The 15819-nt window shown below is 38.6% G+C and overlaps 1 protein-coding gene across 8 annotated transcripts in view, besides 1 other annotated feature; it reads left to right on the top strand.

Annotated features, from left to right (window-relative positions):
* Positions 1 to 15819, top strand: part of TAOK3 (TAO kinase 3) — a 223107-nt gene that overhangs the window by 57480 nt on the left and 149808 nt on the right. The window lies entirely within an intron of this gene.
* Positions 7130 to 7229: an enhancer, noted in NCBI's record as "active region_7110". NCBI's record gives its function as "activates an Ori minimal core promoter by ATAC-STARR-seq in GM12878 lymphoblastoid cells {active_cell/tissue: GM12878}" and the evidence as "EXISTENCE:reporter gene assay evidence [ECO:0000049][PMID:35858748]".

Here is a 15819-nt window from a genome sequence, read left to right as displayed (position 1 = left end):
TTGAATATATCCTGCATATGATTCTTCAACTTGGTTTTTCCTTTATTGTGTTTTGGAAATGTGTCTATATTGATAAATTTATATTTAGCTCATTGATTTAAACTACAACATGGCATTACATCACATGATTATATCAGTTATCCTTTTCCCCACCGATGGATGTTTAATACATTACTCATTTTTTACCATTATGAAAAATTTTCTGCTGGGTGTGGTGGCTCACGCCTGTAATCCCAGCACTTTGGGAGTCCAAGGCGGGCAGATCACTTGAGGTCAGGAGTTCACCATGACCAACATGGTGAAACCCCATCTCTACTAAAAGTATAAAAGTTAGCCAGGGGTGGTGGCACATGCCTGTAATCCCAGCTAGTCGGGAGGCTGAGACAGGAGAATTGCTTGTATGTGGGAGGCGGAGGTTGCAGCCAGCTTAGATCTTGCCACTGCACGCACTCACTCCAGCCGGGGCCATAGAGTGAGACTACATCTTAAAAAAAAAAAAGAAAAAGAAAAAGAAACAAAAACTCCTTCATGTGCCCATGCAATAGTCATGCGCATCTTCAACTTCACTAGATAGTGCTAAATTATGCTGATAAAATGGTTGTAGTAATTTTTTTCACCTTATTCTGAGCAAAAACCTGGTCTTGATAATAATTGATAAGCATTGTTATGGTGGAAAAGATACAGGATGGGATATCAGCTCCGGAACTAATTAGTTGGATAACTTATGTCAGGTTAGTCCATCCATATGAGTCTCAATTTCTCCATCTCCAAATTAAGGTCAGATTGAATATGATCTCTGAAGTCTTTTCCAACCTTGGATGTTCTGTGGTTTTAGTGCTAATGATTTATTGTATTTCAAGAGAAATAAGAGTCATACATTTTAAAATCACATTAGATCTAATAAAGAACTAATGTCACTAGTTCCCAAAATCCTCAAGTAATCCAAAAGTTAAGTTCAGGATATCCTCAAGTCTCCATTTACCATGTCATTTTTATGCACTCCATCTTAATTCACGATATTGTTTTAGAGTTATTACTCAATATTTTTTGATTTGCATAATTAGTTGTATCTCAATAGTATTTTTAAAAGATATTTTAAAATGCAAAATAAGATATTGAATTTGCTTTAGGGACAAACCCTTTGTGGACAAACCTGAAAACCTAAATTCCATATGAAACATTGATTTTGGGTAAAAACATATTCAGAGTTACAGATACTTAGCTTAGAAGTGAACTTTTGGGACCCAACTCTTTTGCAAGTTGGAGGCTTCCTGTAACGTTAATTTCAGGAAATCCTAGGCAAATATGCAGTTACTGTTCTAGAAGATACATAGGTAGTGTGTACTGTGATGGAAATTAAAATGTCACTGTTAAAAGGTTTGCATTTTGTGGGCTTGGAAGGGCCTAAAACTTCCTTCTTAGGCTTTCTCTTCACTAGTGGGCTCTTGCATTATATTACTTCCAGAGAAAGGCAGGCAGGATTAGAGGCATGGCAAGGAGAACAATTTGAGAAATACTATACTGTGCAAAAGAGCAAAGACAACTTTAATGGCAATGAGGATAAATTAACTTCTTTGACTCAGTCGCCAAGTAAGATAAATCCATAATTACTTATTCCAGTTTGATTTTTACATAAGAAGTTCTTCTGGTTATTCTTTAATATAGATTTGATTTTCTTTTCCCTAAATTTTAGCCTTAGATTACTGGACAGTTTAGTCATTTCTGTAATGTAAAAGCTTACTATTCAAGTGTCTGATACAACCTTACCATGAGGTTACTTTTGACAAAATAAAACCCTTTTAAATATTAGAGGGTCCCAGTCTTAGTTGAAGTTATAAGAAACAGCCTTTCTCAGCCTATGCGGTGGCTACGCCTGTAATCTTAGCATTTTGGGAGGCTGAAACAGGTGGATCACCTGAGGTCAGGAGTTTGAGACCAGCCTGGCCAATGTGGTGAAACCTCATTTCTACTAAAAATACAAAAATTAGCCAAGTGTGGTGGCAGATGCCTGTAATCCCAGCTACTTGGGAGGCTGAGGCAGGAGAATCACTTGAACCCAGGAGGCGGAGGTTGCAGTGAGCCAAGATCATGCCATTGCACTCCAGCCTGGACAACAGAGCAAAAACTCGGTCTCAAAAAAAAAGATAAAATAAAATAAAAAATAAAAAAGAAGAGAAAAGAAAAGAAACAGCCATTCTCTTTCCTTGTAATAGAGCTGAAAATGTCTGTCTTCTGTAATGTCTTGCCTGACTGTCCTACTAGGATCTAGCATTATCTCTAGTTGGATAGCTGTCTCTTTATATATGATTTTTAAATTTTCAGTTTTTAAAGATTTCATTTTGTTTGCTTTTAACTCTTTTAAAATAGCTATTTAGCCTCTTTTCTGCATTTTTCCGTCTTTAGTGTTAGGGATTTTGGGTTCAGTTTTATTTTCACTCCAGATTTTAATACAGGGCTCAGCAGAATAGAGCCTCACCAGCAGATAAGCATTTTTGATTGATGGAATTCACATCTGTTATGTTTCCCCAAATTTATTTTTTTCTCCACAGTCTTTCAACACTCATTATAGTTTTGTTGTGTTAGATCATGATACTACAGGCCTCTAGTTAAGATCGGTGTTACTCAGTAGCCAAAAATAATGTCAGAGTGCAAGGTAGTGACAAAACCTGTTAAAGACAAACAAAAAATTGTACTAGAAGTGATACTCTCCTGTTTCTGATGATTCAACATGCAACTGTGGACAATTAATTTCCTTTAGCTTTGCTTTCATTTCTTCATGTGTAAAATCAGGCTAACATAAGCTGTTTTGTGGATTTTGTGAATAATTCTATTATAAAACATTTGTAGGTTGTGATGCTTATTGAATTAGATATTAGTAATAAGCCTTTAATAAGTAATTTCAAGAAACATCCCTTGCTACCGTCTACTTCCCCAGACCAAGAAAAATCTTAATTTATTTTAGTTGTCCAAGGTATGGTTAGTTACAGGTTATAGGAACATTATGGGTAACTATTATCTAAAATCTTAGCATTGTTTATTTTCAGAATTACACTTGCTTATATAATTTAGCCATATTTTTTCTATAGGCTTTAAAGTAGTCTTAAATTAAGGGACTAGATTTTTTTTTAATGTCAAGCCCTTATTTTAATCTTTGGAATTTAGTAGCTTAATAAAGCTATGTCTCAATGTTTAATTATTCTGTGCCTGTTTCCCCTGGCTTCTGTGTGCCTTTTCAGTCTGTAGCTTCAAGTTTATTTTCATTTGTAGAAAGTTTTTTAAAATTATAGATTTACAATTATATTTCTATTTTTCAAGGAAACTGATTTTGAATATATTATCTTTCAAATCTATAATTTACTCTAGTTTTTAAAAACTTTATTCAAGGTGCTGTTGTTTTGCTACTTTCCTCAATTCTCCACCCATGTCCCTTACCACGTCTCCACCATTGCCAGTTCTTTGTGCTGCTTCTTGCCAGCTTCATTTCATTAGTGGTTTTATTTTTCTCCCCACATCTCTCTTGACTTCTGCCAAATCATGTTTTATTCCCTGTTTTGGCTCACGATATCTTCCATTAACTCTTACATCCCTGCTGTGAGCTCCTGTTTTATATAACAGTAACTTCATTGAGTTCCTTTTTTCTTAAAGTTTATTGGCAGTATGTTCTGACACAGCATCCATTGCTATATGACAACTTTTATTCTCTGAAAAGAGTTCTTCACCTGCCATTTCTTTTTCCCATTTCTTAGTTTTGTTTGGTTTTTAAATACTATCTTTACATAGATCTAATGCTGTTTTTAAAAAAAAAAAATTATTCAACTCTAAATGAGACTTATTCTTTGTCTCTTGGGATTCCTATGAGGAAGGGCCAAAGGCCATGTTTCAGGCTAATAAGAGTTTTCCCTATCTCATGGTGAAAATCCTTATAACAAACTTATTTGTGAGCTCTTTCTTTTTTTTCTTTTTTTCTGAGACAGAGTCTCTCTCTGTCACCCAGGCTGGAGTGCAATGGCACAACCTTGGCTTACTGCAACCTCTGCCTCCCAAGTTCAAGCGATTCTCCTGCCTCAGCCTCCCAAGTAGCTGGGATTACAGGTGCCCACTACCACACCCAGCTAATTTTTGTATTTTTAGTAAAGACAGGGTTTCACCATGTTTGTTAGGCTGGTCTCGAACTCCTGACCTCAGGTGATCCACCTGCCTCGGTCTCCCAAGGTGGTGGGATTACAGGCATGAGCCACCATGCCCGGCCCCTATTTGTGAATTCTTTGTGCCTTTATTTTTACTGAGACAACAATGTACAGTTTTATTTCATTAATTTTGAAGGAAAGGCCAGTATAAACCTTTGCTGGACACAGTTCATTAATTGTACTTTAAAAGTGCTACATGAATACCTATGAAACACTGTAGGGTCATAGAATCTGTAGATATCTACACAAACTTTGTAGATATAGCCAGTAACTATTATTTGTGGATATAGATTAAAATAACTATTATTTGTGGGGGAATAATGTAGTTGCAAAATGTCTTATGAATGTGATTAGTTTTCCCACTGCCCTAAAACTCTAAGTCCAGAATATATTAAGGCTATCTACACTACACGGTTTACACATTCTTGACTCCATTTGACCTCCTGTACTTTAAATCCTTCCTCCATATTCTCCCTTATAACAGAAGAAAAAAGCTACCAACATCACCAAGCAGATGTGGTAAACCTATTTATATAATAGAAGGATGATTATAAACATTTAATAAATTATATCAAATAGATATTATATATTAAATGGGCAGATAATAGAAATCTGTCCAAGCAAAACTCTGGATAATTTTTATGTTGCCTTATTTTTTGTTTTCTGTGAACTCCAAGAAAAATGAGATACCAGTTTGGAACAGATGTAATATTGCTGATTTAACAGTTTAGGGATACTCCCCAAGTTCAATAATTTTGCCAAGATACAAATTTAAATGGAACCTTTTATGAAGCTTCATAGTGTGTGAAGAACTTACCTTGTTTATATGTTTGAAGACATACATATTTCACATTTCAGAAGAGTCTATACATAGCTCACCAAATATCAAAACCACCTTGTTAGAAAACATTAAGGTCTGTCTTATTTATTTGTTCATTTATTTATGAGACACAGTCTCACTCTGTAATCTCACTCTGTTGTAGAGGTTGAGTGCAGTGGCACGATCACGGCTCACTGCAACCTCCATCTCCCTGACTCAAGGAATCCTCCCACCTCAGCCTTCCAAGTAGCAGGGACCACAGGTGCACGCCACTATGCCCAGCTAATTTTTATATTTTATTGTAGAAATTGGGTTTTGCCATGTTATTCAGGCTGATCTTGTGGCCTCAAACTCCTGGGCTCAAGCGATCTGCCTGCCTCAGCCTCCCAAAATGCTGTGATTACAGGTGTGAGCCACCACACCCAGCCAACATTAAGGTCTTAAGCTAATTATGAGAAGGGAGGGAGTTGCCTATGGGGGGAAAGAATAAGAAAATGGTAAAAGAAGAGAAACAGGAAAACTCAGGTTTTTGAGCTACAATAATAATTGTGGATAATCTGCTACCCAGCACATAGCCAGGAGGAAGATAAAGAAAACCACCATGTGGCGGGGCCTGATGACTCAGGCCTGTAATCTCAGCACTTTGGGAGGCTGAGGCGGGCAGATCACCTGAGGTCAGGAGTTTGAGACCAGCCTGGCCAACATGGTGAAACCCCATCTCTACTAAAAATACAAAAATTAGCCAGGCGTGGTGGCAGGCGCCTGTAATCCCAGCTACTCGGGAGGGTGAGGCAGGAGAATCTCTTGAACCCGGAAGGCGGAGGTTGCAGTGAGCCAAGATCGTGCCATTGCACTCCAGCCTGGGGGATAAGAGCAAGACTTCATCTCAAAAAAAAAAAGGAAAGAAAACCACCATTTGAGCCAAGAAGGGAGGGTAGATTTGCAGGGAGGAGGGCAGTTGTTTCAAGAAATAAAATTGAAGAGATGCAACTTAGAGCTGTAACTCATTTGTACATCTGAGAACTTAGGATGTCCATAATTTGGTTTTTACAAAATCTACCCTAGAAGGTTGGCTTTTTTTTTTTTTTTTTTTGGAGACAGTCTCACTCTGTTGCCCAGGCTGCAATGCAGTGGCCCGAGCTCGGCTCATTGCAACCTCTACCTCTGGGTTCAAGCAATTCTTCCTGCCTCAGCCTCCCAAGTAGCTGGGATTACAGACATGCAGCACCACGCCCAGCTTATTTTTGTATTTGTAGTAGAGATGGGGTTTCGCCACGTTGGCCAGGCTGGTCTCGAACTCCTGACCTCAGGTGACCCGCCCTCCTTGGCCTCCCAAAGTGCTGGGATTACAGGCGTGAGCCACCGTGCCCAGTGACATTTAAAATAATATAATTCAAAGAGGGGAAAGAAAATGTTTTAAGAACTAAATTTGAGTGCTCAATTAATTACAACCATACAGGCTTTTTTTTTTTTTTTTTTTTTTTTTTTTGGAGACAGAGTTTCGCTGCTGTTCCCCAGGCTGGAGTGCAGTGGTGCGATCTCAGGTCACTGCAACCTCCGCCTCCTGGGTTCAAACGAGTCTCCTGCCTCAGCCTCCCAAGTAGCTGGGATTACAGGCATGTGCCACCACGCCTGGCTAATTTTTGTATTTTTAGTAGAGACAGGGTTTTACCATGTTAGTCAGGCTGGTCTCAAACTCCTGACCTCAGGTAATCCACCTGCCTCGGCCTCCCAAAATGCTGCCATTACAGGTGTGAGCCACCGCGCCCGGCCAAATTACAGACTTTTCTACACCGTCTACATTCTCCCAAGACCATTTTTGGGCAGCACCCTTGCCAGGTAGAAGTACTGGTATACTGGGAAACATGCTGCTATCCTAGGAGTCAGATGACACTCATAAAAATCAGAATAATAATAACTGATTTTCCTGCCTTACTGGGTTGTTAAAATAATTGAATTTGGTTAGGTATGTGAAAGTACTTTATACAAATGTAAATGTTTAATTTTTTTTTTAAGTGAAAGCAAGTTTATTAAGAAAGTAAAGGCATAAAAGAATGGCTACTCCACAGACAGAGCAGCCCCGGGGGGTTGCTGGTTGCCCAGTTTTATGGTTATTTCTTGATGATATGCTAAACAAAGGGTCTATTATTCATGCTTCCCCTTTTTAGACCATATAGGGTAACTTCCTGATGTTGCCGTGGCATCTGTAAACTGTCATGGCATTGGTGGGAGTATAGCAGTGAGGACGACCAGAGGTCATTCTCATTGCCATCTTGGTTTTGGTGGGTTTTGGCCGGCTTCTTTACTGCAACCTGTTTTATCAGCAAGGTCTTTATGACCTGTATCTTGTGCCTACCTCCTATCCCATCCTGTGACTTAGAATGCCTTAACCTTCTTACATTTACAGATATAACTGTTTAATGTTGTTATTTTTTAAATGTAAAAAAAAAAAAAAAGTAGTCAAACTTGCCAACAGCTTATTTTAAGCAGCTATTGGGAACAAGTACCAGTAACTATCATGTAGTGTCAAACCCTTTTTCGCTATGGCCAGTACAGATGGTAACAAGTCTACAGACTACTCATTGGAGCAGTATGCAGCTTAACATTTTTAGTGTTTTAGTAATAAGATACCATTTCCGTGGTTAGAGAGTCAGCATTCAGAACTTTTGTTTTTTAAGGAAAGAACTTCCGGAACTTCATTAACAGTTCATAGAGGATACCGAGACCTCTAGCTGGCTAGCTAGTGGTAGAACTCTAGTATCAAGTGCTTGGAAATTTGTCTAGCAGTGGAAGGAAAGAAGGGGTAGCTGCAGCTGCTATCCTAAACCCTGCAAAAACACTTATACATACACAGCCTCATTTTTCCCATTGCGACCTAATAACTGAATGCAACAGTTTCTGTTTCCAGTTATGGTTCTCTTTCATTCCTGTTTAAAACAAAGGCAGCAGGTCAAGAAACTAACTAAATGTGACTAGTTAGAGGAGAAGATGTGAGGGTGGGAGGGGGAGTCAGGGAAGAAGGAGGACACAGAGATAGCAAATCCATCATCCCTTAGAGGTTAGGCCAACAAAAATAATTGAATTCCCGTGGGAGCCTAAGGTCAGAGTTAGACTACTGGTTAGATCTGAGAGCTTTGCTTTCTGTTTTACAAATGATTTTAAAGAGAAAACTATGAGGACTCCAGAGATGGGGGGGGGAAGAGGAGGCGGGAAGGTTGATTCATAAAGTGGTAAAAAACCGTGCTCAAAACCTCATTGCTTCTTGCACAATTGGTCAAGAGATGTGTCAGCAATTCCTGAGGCAATGATATAACCTGTATAGTTTAGTAATGAGAATCATTATTATTCTATTTCCACATAATTACTGATGTTTTTTGAACTATCTAGAACTGTGTTGTCCAACATTGTAGTTTCTAGCCAAAGAGCTATTTAAATGAAAATTAATTAAAATTAAACACTTAAAAATTCCGTTCTTCTGTTGCACTAGCCACATTTCAAGTGCTTACTAGCCACATGTTGTTAATGGCTACCATTATTGGATAGTGCAAATGAAGTGATAGACTATTTTCTTCATTATGGAGCATTCTATTTGAATGTACTGATGAAGCAGAACAAACTCTGAGAGCAAAAGTTTGATGTTACTACTTTACAATTGAATGATTAGTTTAAGTCCAAAGTACAATATATAAAATTATCTTTTAACTATGGAACCTACCATTGTGGCTTAGTTACTCTAAGTATCAATAATATTTCTTCAGTGAACATTAAGGTCCACTAAATAAAAGTAAGGACAGATCTATGTTAATTTTAGACTCAAGAACTTGAGGGAAACATGTATGGATTTTTATAAAAATTATGAAACGTTTCACATCCATTTACAATCATGAAGAATATAAGTCAAAAAGAAAAATTTAAACCAAGTGTTGAAATAATTAAAATTATAAGCTGGGTGAGGAGGCTCACCCCTGTAATCCCAGTATTTTGGGAGGCCAAGACAGGAGGATCACTTGAGCCCAGGAGTTCGACACTAGCCTGGGCAACATAGTGAGACCCTATCTAAATTCTAAAAAAATTAAATAAAAACATAAAAAATAAAGTTAGCAGTAAATAGGAATAGAATAAGAAAACTCCAAATGGAGGGAGAGGATCAGAAAAAACAACTATCAGGTACTATACTTAGTTCCTGGGTGACAAAATAATCTATACACCAAAACCCCATGACACCAGTTAACCTATATAATAAACTTGTATGTGTGCCCCAAACCTAAAATAAAAGTTAAAAAACAAAAACCAGCAGTGGTCGAGCTTTAAGAGAAAATAAATTACTCTGAGTATCCAGAAAAAATGACACAGAATCCTTTCTACATTCTTTATTATTTTATGAAACATGGTGTCCTCTTGTAAATATCTGAAAAGTGATTTCTATCCTATGACAGAAGAAGACTAACCTCTCCAAAGCAGCAGAGGAGAAAATCGAATGGCAATTGAGCCAACTTTTTTTTTTTTTTTTTTTTTTGAGACGGAGTCTCGTTTGCTGTTGCCCAGGCTGGAGTGCAGTGGCGTGATCTCAGCTCATGCAAACTCTGCCTCCCAGGTTCAAGCAATGCTCCTTCCTCAGCCTCCCAAATAGCTGGGATTACAGGCACCCGCCACCACACCCTGCTAATTTTTGTATTTTTAGTAGAGATGGGGTTTCACCATGATGGTCAGGCTAGTCTGAATTCCTGACCTCAAGTGATCTGCCCACCTCTGCCTCCTAAAGTGCTGAGATTACAGGCGTGAGCCACCACGCCCAGCCGCCAACTTTTTGACATGCATAAAATAGTAAAAAATTAACAGTTAAATACTTAACAGTTGATATATATGTTCTCTATAGAATATCACATTTAATTATGTCATTTGTTAGTAGTAGTGGATTAAGTTTATTTTTATTATTTTTTTGTTTTTTGAGACAGAGTCTTGCTTTGTCACCCAGGCTGGAGTGCAGTGGCACAGTCTCAGCTCACTGCAACCTCCGCCTCCCAGGTTAAAGGGATTCTCCTGCTTCAGCCTCCCTAGTAGCTAGAATTACAGATGCATGCCCGGCTAATTTTTGTATTTTTAGTAGAGACAGGGTTTCACCACGTTGATCAGGCTGGTCTTGAACTCCTGACCTCAAACAATCCTCCCGCCTCAGCCTCCGAAAGTGTTGGGATTACAGGCATAAACCACCAAACCCGGCGGGTTAAGTTTATTGAATGCTTATTCTATGCATGCCACCTTGTTTAACACATTACATACACTATCTTATTAAATCCTGACAATAAACAATCCTGTGCTCGATATATTTATTATATTATGTCCTTTGTACAGATGAGGAAACTGAACCTTAGATTTGAAACCTGCCATATGGTTAGTTAGGATTAGATCTGGGATTTGAACTCAGTTCTACTTTAATCATAACCCGTGTTCTTAACCATGGTTGCTTTTCCAGATAGCAGGCTGAAGACTACACTCTTAAGCAGAGGATTTAAACATAAATCTTTTTCACTCCAGGTGTCGTGTTGTTTCTCTTTGCCATTTGCCTTTCATAGCAACGGAAAATGAGGGAATAACTGTAATTTTATAATATCTAATGAAATTATTGGCATCCCTATAAGCACAATCAATTTTCATAAGTTTAGTTCATATCAAGATTTAGGAACATTATCTGAACAAATTGCTAAAAACATCACAAATTAGGACAAACTGAAATACAAGTTGTACACATATAACATTCAAAAAGCAAAAGCCTTAAAGCAGTGTAGATAATATGTATCAGTGGCTTCTTATTTCAGATTACATTTTTTTTAAGAGAACATTGTAACCATGCAAAGTTGTTGAAGAATATTTAGGGATTTCCTTAGTGTAAGCATAAATTATGGTAATTTTTCTAAACTGGGGTATGAAGAAATAATCAAGTTATCATACGAAGAAGTCTAGGAAGAGGTAATTAATAATTCAGCACCAATTGGTGAAGGCTTCTTTTTGGTTAATATTATATATTTTGTAGTCGGCCTAGTTCAAACAGCCTGTGTCTCTTCCCTGAGACCTTTGAGGGTTCTAGTTCTTGGTATGAGAAATATCACTAAATGAGAAATTTCTAGAGAGCCAAAATTAAAGGGGGAAGTATGTGCTCTTTAGTTTTCTTCAGTGGAATTTACCTCTAAGTGAATGAAATGTAATTCAGCCCGTTGAATCACTGAGCTATTTTATTGCATTGGAACTCATAAAAGAATTTCTTCTGAAAAACGTGCTTGCCTTTTCAACAACTTAAAACCATAGTCTATTCATTCACCTCATAACCAAGTAGTATAGATAATGACTTCACTGAAACAGTGCCAGACTCTCTTCAGCAAAGTGTTGTTGGCATGAGGGAGGCAAAAGGAAGGGCAAGACCAGGAGTGTAAAGAGAGAAGTTACCTGAACTTTATTTATTAGTATTTAAAATATGGGACCAGGCATGGTGGCTCACGCCTGTAATCCCAACACTTTGGGAGGCCAAGGCAGGTGGATCACCTGAGGTCAGGAGTTAAAGACCAGCCTGGCCAACATGGCGAAACCCCATCTCTACTGAAAATACAAAAATTAGCTGGGTATGCTGGCAGGTGCCTGTAATCCCAGCTACTCAGGAAGCTGAGGCAGGAGAATTGCTTAAACCCGGGAGGTGGAGGTTGCAGTGAGCCGAGATCATGCCATTGCACTCCAGCCTGGGTGACAAGAGCAAAACTCCATCTCTAAAAAATAAAATATGAGAGCAGTAAGGGAAAAATTAAAAAGTAATATGCAGTGCTCCCCTTCAAGAAAGTTATGGCCTAGAGAGAAACCAATTCTTAGAACATAATATGAAGTTTGTAAATGGACGTTAACATGGCGAAAACAGTGCACAGATAAAAGTCAATGCAAAAGAAATGTCTCATAGCATTGTTCTATTGTAATGGAGTTGATTAATTTATTCAGACTTTTGGCAAGTGTTCTTTGCACACGTACATTCTGCCAAACATTGTTTCAGGCATTGAAGATGCAACAGTGAACAAAACAGATTGAAAATCCTGTCCTCATAGAGTTTACATGCTAGAAAGGAGAGAGAGAAAATATGCAAATTAAGTGAAATACCTATTTTATTAAAAGGTGGCAAATGCTGTGAAGCAAAAAAACAGAGGAGGAGGATAAGGAATGGGGGCTGATTTCAATTTTAAGAAGAGTAAATAGGGCTTATAATACATCTTTTATTAAAATCATATTAATCTATGGAAGCTGAAGTTGAAATAGGGCCAAGCTGAAATAGGGCCACTTCTCTAGTGACAGAATAAGTGAAAGGAATTCAGTAAAGGAATGAGAGTGGTGTCAGGTACTTTGTTTATCCACTTTCTGGTCTTGATATTTTGATTGTTTGGGTGGGTGTTTAGTAGTATATTTGGTTTTTTGGTAGAGTCAAAATGGAGTGGTGGTACTGAAGATAGAATAGTGCACGGTTCCACTCATCTTCCCCTGAGATCTGTGTGCATTTATGAAGTTTACAAAATGGTAGTCGTGATATTGGAATTTTCACTTGTAGAAAAAAAATGCTGTGTTTTCCAAATATTTTGAGAGGTCATCATAGTTAAGGAAAATCTGTCTGTTCCCATATCTCTTTTTAATACCAAGTTTATCAGTTATCAGCATTGAATAGTTGTTCCTCCATTTTTTATTCATTTATCCAACATGTCTTGAGTGACTAATATTCTGCACTAATATGTGCAGAAGATTTTTTTAAACACATCTAAATATTTTTTGCTTTGCCACAATTAAAAACAGTGACTATTAGCTGTCCTGTCTCTTTCTTACCTTTGACCTCTTACCTCTCTCCAGCAAAGATCTCTTCTTTACAAAAACTTGTACCTGACCCTGCTATTCTCACTTTATTTTATTTTCCCTATTATACCCATAAGAAAACTGAGGCTTAGAGAGTTTAAGTTACTTAACCAATACCACAAGTCAGAGGCAGAAGCAAAATTCAAACACAGATAATCTTGCATCTGAGTAATGTTCTTACCTAGCACTCTAGACTGCCTTCAGCAGTGGACAAGAGAGATGAGGCAGTGCCAAAACCCTCCAGGCTATACTGTTGTTCATTCTGAGAACCTGGGACTCTTGACCTAATTTTCCCTCTTGCCAGCATTTTTGCTCTGCTTCCTGTCACTGCCAACAGAGTATGGATGTGGTCAGTAAGGTGTGGATAGTACAGGTCACCCTGATTTCCTTCCTTGATCTGTGCAGAAATGCATGCTGTACTTTCTCCACTTAAAGATGAGTGGATAGGGACAGAGAATGACAAAAAAACCAAAACAGATCAAAAACCCCACCATACTGGACAAGTGTCTGAGAGTATACAAATATTCTAAAAGAGGCATTTTGAATTTAAATTTTCTTCACAATTAATGCAACTCTGCAAAAGTTAAAGAGGAATAGCCTGAGGAGAAAAAATATGGTCATAATATAACCCCCAGCCTTTCTTACTTTTGATGTACTTAACCCTTATTGTGCTTTGAGGTTTGAATTTTTTTTTTTTTTTTTTTTTTGAGATGGAGTCTCACTCTGTTGCCCAGGCTGGAGTGCAGTGGCACAATCTCAGCTCACTGCAACTTCCGCCTCCCAGGTTCAAGCGATCCTCCCGCCTCAGCCTCCTGAGTAGCTGGGACTACATGCAAGCGCTACCATGCCTGGCTAATTTTTGTATTTAGTAGAGACGGTGTTTCTCCATGTTGGTCAGGCTGATCTTGAACTCCTGACCTCGTGATCCGCCTGCCTCGGCCTCCCAAAGGACTGGGATTATAGGAGTGAGCCACCGTGCCCAGCTGAGGTTTGAATATTTTGACCATTACTTCAGGCTTTAATGACTGCAGATGTAAATGGAAAAAAGGAAAGTATCTTTGCTGGATCGTCATTCATGAATTCTAGTTTTGGAGAGGAAGGTAGCTACAAAATACAGGGTTCCTTGAGAAAGGTCCTTAAAATTTCAACAAACACTTAAGCAAACTTTTATTATCAAGTTCCCTGTATACCAGGAACTGTGCTAAGTGCTAGAGTTTTTGGTTTTGTTTTTAGCCTCCCTTAACTATTTTGCTTGATGTTTCCACCTCTTTGCAGCTTTAATGGAGCTTTGCTTGACAGTGACATTTGCAGCTGCTTATGGCATTACACTATCTAACATTTATTAAGCACCAAGGAAACCCTGGCAGGTGTGTGTGGAAAAGGCAAAAATTGTAGAACTAAACCATCACTATTTGAAAGTGAATTGAATTTGATACTTCTGGCTGTATGATGGAGGTAAAAATTTTAAAAATAGGCAGGATGCAGTGGCTCACGCCTGTAATCCCAGCACTTTGGGAGGCTGAGGCAGGCAGATCATTTGAGGTCAGGAGTTCAAGATCAGCCTGGCCAACATGGTGAAACCCCGTCTCTACTAAAAATACAAAAATTAGCCGGGCGTGGTGGCACATGCCTATAGTCCCAGTTACTTGAGAGTCTGAGGCAGGAGAATCGCTTGAACCCAGGAGGCAGAGGTGGTAGTGAGCCAAGATTGTGCCATTGCACTCCAGCCTGGACAATAGAGCAAGACTCCGTCTCAAAAAAATAAATAAAATTAAAATTTAAAAAAAAATCAAAAAGGAAGGTCCTAAGAAAGGAGAGAGGTGAGCAAAGAATAAGGAAATAGTTAGGTGATAGACACATACAACTGTTGAGGAACAGAAAGAACAATAGAATCAGGAAGAAAAGAGCACTTTACAAAATATCCTTCAGTATACTAAAAAGTGTGAGTGTGTGTGAGTGTGTGTGCGTGCATGTGTGTGCGCTATAGTGAGATTATTTAGAAAACTTGCCCTGAGTTCATTTTCACTTAGGGTTGGTTTTAGATTTGTGAGCTTTCTTGACTATGCTAATCCTCGCCTCTTTGGTACTCAACACCCAATCCTCCCACACAAACAGAGTCTGTCAGAATTATCTCTTTTATCACTTGATATTCAGCTCACATTTACTTTCTCAGACTTTTGGAAGTTACCACTCAGACAGATGCAAATTCAGTGCGATGCCTGCCAAAGTGCTGAGCAGAAAAGAGACTTTCTTTTACACCTTCCATCTTTTGAGCTTTTGGTCCTACTCTTTCAATTTTTGCTAAATAGTAAATGGGGATATTGTTGTTTTTCAGATGAACACGTGAGTACATTTGCATTACTGAGCTTGCTGTCTCTAGTTCTAAAGAGATTCTTTACAATTTCCGTATCAGCAAAGGAATTGCCTTGATTTCCTTTGATGATGTTTCCCTGCTGATATTCTAGACCTAGCACAGAAGCAATTGGTACCCTCGTGAAAATGGCTCTTGCCCAGTAATTCTGCTTTATTTGTACATATTCAGCTTTAATTACAGGGGTAAGTGGGGGAAGGAGAAGAAAGCCAAAAATACCCACTGCCCCCAAGTGGAAGAACAAGAAGAAGCTTGACTCCCTCAACTTGCAGGAGTACAATTATATTGTAACTGAGGTTGTTTTCCTAGATGTCAGCCAGAAAGATAAACACTCAAAGTTTAAAAAAAAAAATAAAATAACCTTTAGTGGCTGGGCGTGGTGGCTCACGCCTGTAATTCCAGCACTATGGGAGACCAAGGCAGGTGGATCACCTGAGATTAGGAGTTCGAGACCAGCCTGACCAACATGGTGAAACCCCGTCTCTACTAGAAATACAAAAGTTAGTCGGGCGTGGTGGTGTGCACCTCTAGTCCCAGCTAGTGGGGAGGCCGAGACAGGAGGATTGCTT

Source organism: Homo sapiens, chromosome 12, assembly GCF_000001405.40.
Source record: "Homo sapiens chromosome 12, GRCh38.p14 Primary Assembly".
Taxonomy (NCBI): Eukaryota; Metazoa; Chordata; class Mammalia; order Primates; family Hominidae; genus Homo; species Homo sapiens.
Note: the sequence above shows the minus strand (reverse complement) of the source record. Positions and strands in the feature narration are given on the sequence as shown.